This window comes from Homo sapiens, chromosome 7, assembly GCF_000001405.40.
Source record: "Homo sapiens chromosome 7, GRCh38.p14 Primary Assembly".
Classification (NCBI taxonomy): Eukaryota; Metazoa; Chordata; class Mammalia; order Primates; family Hominidae; genus Homo; species Homo sapiens.
The window spans coordinates 133794601-133800492 of NC_000007.14; the positions used below are offsets into that span (position 1 = coordinate 133794601).

At 38.8% G+C, this 5892-nt stretch overlaps 1 protein-coding gene across 10 annotated transcripts in view; it reads left to right on the forward strand.

Annotated features, from left to right (window-relative positions):
• Positions 1 to 5892, forward strand: part of EXOC4 (exocyst complex component 4) — an 847874-nt gene that overhangs the window by 541523 nt on the left and 300459 nt on the right. The gene's annotated exons all lie outside the window — the stretch shown is intronic.

Genomic DNA, 5892 nt, shown 5'->3' on the forward strand with positions numbered 1-5892 from the left:
ATTCAGGTTTCAATTTCTTCAGCCCAGATGTTCCTTCTGTCATTACGTTAGTTCCCTTGGAAGCTATCCAGGCTGCTGAAAATAGCTTGAGTGTGTCACAACCCACTGGCACTTACCACTTTCTCTTCAGTAGCAGAACTCTTGCCCTATTGAGTGAGCATCTCCCAATCAAATCACAATGGATAGTTGTCTTTTTTTTTTTTAATTATACTTTAAGTTTTAGGGTACATGTGCACAAAGTGCAGGTTTGTTACATATGTATGCATGTGCCATATTGGTGTGCTGCACCCATTAACTCTTCATTAAACATTAGGTATATCTCCTAATGCTATCCCTCCCCCTTCCCCCCACCCCACAACAGGCCCCGGTGTGTGATGTTCCCCTTCCTGTGTCCACACAATGGATAGTTTTCAAAGCAACTACCCATTATGCATGTGTTCTTAAATGGTACGTTGAAGAGACTATACAAAGAACTTTTTTTAAAAAATCAAGTATTACGCAGCCAGCTCATATATAACCATTGTTGAATAGAACTATTACCCTCAATAAATAAGAAATGATGACACTTGGAAAAGAGAGAACAATAGTTAATGGGTCTGCTTTTCCCTCTAACCACAACCATGAAAATATAATCCTCATTAAAGGGCTATAAAGTTGTCTGCTTTCAAGGTTCAGCACACTAATGTCTCCTTGCTTTTAGTGCTGTTTTAGTATGTTGACCCTCTGTTCCCTGCAGCTGGGAGTTTATTAGTCTTTGTGGCCTTTGGGAATGAATATTCATAATGAGATAGCAGTGATGTTTCAGATCCTTTTTAAGGCCCCAAGAGTATTACTCTGAGCAACTAGGAAAACTGAGAAAAAGGCAAATCATGCCAGCATCCCATACTGAATCATGGAACACGGGGCTGTATGCAAAGGACCTGGTGAGGAAACTGAAGCCTAGGGCTACCCAGTTATGAATAGCACAGCCAGGCCAGAATCCAGGTCTTTCAATTCACAGTCCAGATTCTTTCTGTGACATCATATTATCTCTATATGAATTTGCCTTTTCCATTCCTGAGGTTCTAACCCATGAAAAAGATAAAACACCAAGTATCTAAAATTAGAATTTGACCATGATGGTGGAACTTATGTGACAAAGTTATTCAGGGAGGGCAGAGGAGTAGAAAAGCATCTCTATCAACCGTGTAGTTTCTTAGAAGTAAACTCTAGTTATATTTGGGGGTATTAATTTCACCAACTATATCACATTTTTCTTTTTAAAAATTACCATTATTATTCACGTTTTAAAAACATCCTTAAGCTTATTCAGAGAGTCTATGAAACACCTGCTAAATCATATTTACTCTTCTTAGAACAATAAAAATTGATCACTATGGTAGATACAGTTGAGAATAAGGAAGATGTATGATGATGCTTCCTTTTATTTCTTTTTTCCTAATTGTATTATAAACATCTTATGAAATCAAGGTAATTTCATTAAAATTCTTATGATTGGGTCTTAATTTCCTATAGACATTCAAGCCTTAAAAGTTTTCAGTTAAATTCTACATAACTTTCTCCATAGGCAACTTCTTTTAGTCAGTGTGGTACTTCTTTAAATTCTTAATAAGCTCAGATCAGATGAAAGAACTGTTTTTCTATCCCAAGGTGACATCATTTGGATCCCAGACTGAGGTTGCCTTTTTCCTTGAGTGAATACCAATCTGATATACAGGTTGTGGGGGAAAGGCTCTGGTGGAAATAGGGCCAGAGAACCACTCCTCCTGATCAAGGCTGCCCAGAAAGATTCCTCAGTTCAGAAGGATGAACTGGATAGCTTTGCCTATTACAGGCATGGCATTGATGTAATATTGAGTTAACAATATTATTTTGGCCGGGCGCGGTGGTGGCTCACCCCTGTAATCCCAGCACTTTGGGAGGCCGAGGTGGGCGGATCACAAGGTCAAGAGATCGAGACCATCCTGGCCAACATGGTGAAACCCCATCTCTACAAAAAATATAAAAATTAGCTGGGCGTGGTGGCATGCACCTGTAGTCCCAGATACTCTGGAGGCTGAGGCAGGAGAATCGCTTGAACCTGAGAGGCGGAGGTTGCAGTGAGCCGAGATCGCGCCACTGCATTCCAGCCTAGTGACAGAGCAAGACTCCATTTCAAAATAAAAAAGATTATTCATAGTAATCTATGTCTTTGGGTTTATTTAGAAGACACCTGACTTCATCGAAGGCTCCTTCCCCAGTTACGTGCCTGGGAAGCTAATTATTCAGTCGGAGGGTAATGAAAGACGCTGCCATCTGTCTGCCGACTTAATGGAGTGTCAGCATATCCCAAATAGGAAGTAATTGGATTGACAGACACAAAGCCAGTTATTAGACTGTTATTATCTGATTGGAAAAAAGCAGCCAGAGAAGCATACAGCTATAGCAAAAACTAATCTGATGATGTCTGTTGTTCTGGGAATGCAGAAACCACCACACAGAATGCATGGGCTTTGAAATCCCTGACCGGCTTAGGAACGTTTGGAGTTCCTTCTCAGAATTCATCTCTGTATTCTTATTACAAATCATTATAATGCAATAGAATAAAACACAGTTTGCATAAAGATGGGGCCCATTTATAAAACTGTCACCACAGCCACTCTATTAATAGAGCCATTTTAAAGATTTATTGTGAGCATATGTTACTTTTTACAGGGGGCCAGATTGAGAGCTGCAGGATTTGAACGTGGAAGAGTGTGCTACTGATGATAATTCAAAAAAAAATTAAAGCGATTCTGCCCAAGTAGTATCATTAGACTGGTACTCTTCCCTTTTCAGGTGTGATTATCAAAGATCAATCTTAATGAGGCATTAAGGACAGGTGACAAGGTCTAGAGCAGTGCTACATAACTACTTTTTTAAATTCACAGATTCTAGTTTTATTTCCTGGGACCGCTAGAGGTCAGGGAACACAATGCATGGGCTAAATATAAGGGTTTGGAAGCAGAACTGGGTTATGAGCTTTATTGTCCTTTGGAAAACGGTGGCTGCATGTGTCTGGTGGGGAAGAAGTAGTAAAGACATCATCTCTATTCATTCACTGTTGATTCAGTGAGAGTCACAGCCCTCCTCCATAGGATTCCTGAAGTCTCTAGTCCCTGGAGTTTATGCAAAGAGCTAGACAGTTCCACAAGCTTACATTTATTCAGCAAGTTCCTAAATAGCACTTGCAATGTGCTAGGCACTTTCCTAGGTTCTAGGTATACAGCTATGAAGCCGTCTAAGACCCTGCCCTCGTGGGGCCTGCTTTCCAGTAAGGCAAATGAAAAGTAAACAAAGTCAATGCTTGTGGTATCAGATTATAAGTGCTGTAAAGAAAAAAAGAGGCAGTGAAGGGAGATGGAGAATGATCTTAAGAAGGTGATGTATGTGCTGGCACCCTACTGAAGTCAGCAAGTGAGTTGTGTAACTGTCTGGAGGAAGAGCAGCCCAGGCAGAGGGACCAGGACTTTCAGAGGCCCAAGCAAATTATGAGTATTTTTGCCAGTCCTACCACCAAGAAACCAGCTGCTTTCAGATTCCTTTGCCTGATAATATTAGAGTTAGTCCTCAACATTTCTTATTTGTAAGTTAGGGAATACTGAAAATATGCATGCAAAGGTACTGTAATCTATAAAGAATACATAAACATAGGATATTGTGAGTAAGCTCCAAATAAGCTTTAGAGATCTCCATCATTATAATCTGAGTCATTTAAAAGCTTTGAGGGAATTCCCACTTAAAGAGACCAAGTCTGTGGTGATATCACTTTTATCACACAAACCTTTATCAGTAATTTTCTTGGCATATTTACAAAGAAATAAACAAAGGAATTACTTGTTAGTAATATTACCTGCCACATAATGAGTGCTACCATATTTCAGACACTGTTTATAGACACGAGGTGAATTTAAGATACTACTGCAATACATACATCACTGCCAACCTTATAATAACCCTGCAAGGCAGATATTATTTCCTCATTTTACAGATTAGGAGCCTGAGTGGTCAGAAAAGTGCCACAGTTAAATATCTGGGAAAGCTGAAATTCCAACCCAGGCCTGTCTGACCTCAGACCCTGTGGCCTCTCCTGTATATTATGTTGCTCAAAAGATCATACCATTGAGTTCTTAATATGAGTGGCACACTGTGTTAGGAACCATGAGAAAGACAAAAAAAAATAAAATAAAATAAAAGCACAATCCCTCTACTCAGAGACATGAAAATATAGTTGGGGAGAGATAATTTTATGAGAAATAACAGAGGACAGTAAAAGATGAGGTATAAACACATCATTGTGTTCCTTGGACTATGAAAGCTAAGGAACAGAGAGAGATTAATGTAGACTACAGACAATAAGGCTGAAGCTGCGATTTTGAGAGACAGGTAAAATTCAGGTGATCTCTGTCATAGAGTTCCAGTCATATATTGATGTTAGAATCTACTCCTGTACCTAGGGTGAAAATCAGATATCATCATGATTACCTATGAAAATTGCTTAGCAAGTTAGAGATGAACTACTGTCTCTCAACATGGTAAATATAACCCAGCTACATTTTCCTCCAATTTTATACCCCTTTGGTTAAACTCCAAAAGAGGTATCCCCCCTGTGAATAATTATGTCACATAAAAAGTACACATTTTAAGTACTAGATCACACAGTCACACTCAGAATGACTAGAGTCTGATACCATGAAAGACATCCAGGAGCTGAGTCTGACTGAGGGGCCTGGATTGGTGCCTCCCTGTCCTGCATACTGTGGGACACATTCTCATCGAGTGGAATGGCAGGCCAAATACCTTGATGTGTTTGCATTGCCCCTGTCCCTCTCAGCCCATACACCGCTGATTTCATGTATATTAAATATGGGTATTCTAAAACCTCACTGAAGTGGAGTATGTTCTAAATAAGCAGAAAAACATAAGCAAAAGGACAAGGACAGAAATAATTTTGGATTCTCATGAAATCATCAAATGGCCATTATGCAGAGATATGGGAATGTAACGCAGCCTGATCCTAAGAGGACCATGCAAACCAGAGGGAAAATTAAAGATTCATGAGATGGAAGTAAAAGCCATTGAAAGTTTTTGAGAAATGAAATATACTGTGAAAGTTTGATGCAGATTAGTCTAGTGGTGAAATATAGGGTGGGTAGTGAAGTAGGAATGGAAAAGACCAGACCAGAGACAGTTATAATCCAGAAGAAGGTATGGACTAGAGTTAGATCATTTCTAGAGATGGGACTTGTTTGGAGATTACTTTTCACCTTACTTAATCTCATTAATGTGATTTAAAGGAAATAATGCACACTCAAAGGAGCAGGTTAAATACCAAGAACTTAGTGAGTCAGGTAGCTGTAGCTTTATAGAAGGCACTTTTTCATCCATCCTTTCATCCATCCATCCATCCATCCATCCATCCACCCACCCACCCACCCATCATATTTTCTTTCCTCCCTCTCTACATTTATACTTACAGTCAAACATATCACTTCCCCAGATGAGAGTCTCAGCTTAGCACTCTAAAATGCTGGTGGCATTAAGTTAGGTAATGAATGTGAAAGTGACTAAAAAATTCTGAAAACAAATTTGAAATGTTATTATCCAGTTGTCATTCCTTTGGATTCTCTTAAAGTCACATTTAAAGTAGGTAGATTTATATATTACTTGTACTTTTGAAAATAAATATATCCTTCAATCATTCTAATAGTTTTTAACTATTCTGATTCCTTCTGTGTTTTTATGATATCGTCTTCTTCTAGAGAATTAGTTGACCAAAAATAAAGGGAGTCGTTCTATTTCTTAAGACCTAAAATAATCATTTTGGTTCATTTATGATGCTCTGAATGAAAAATTCACAACTTTAGGAATAAA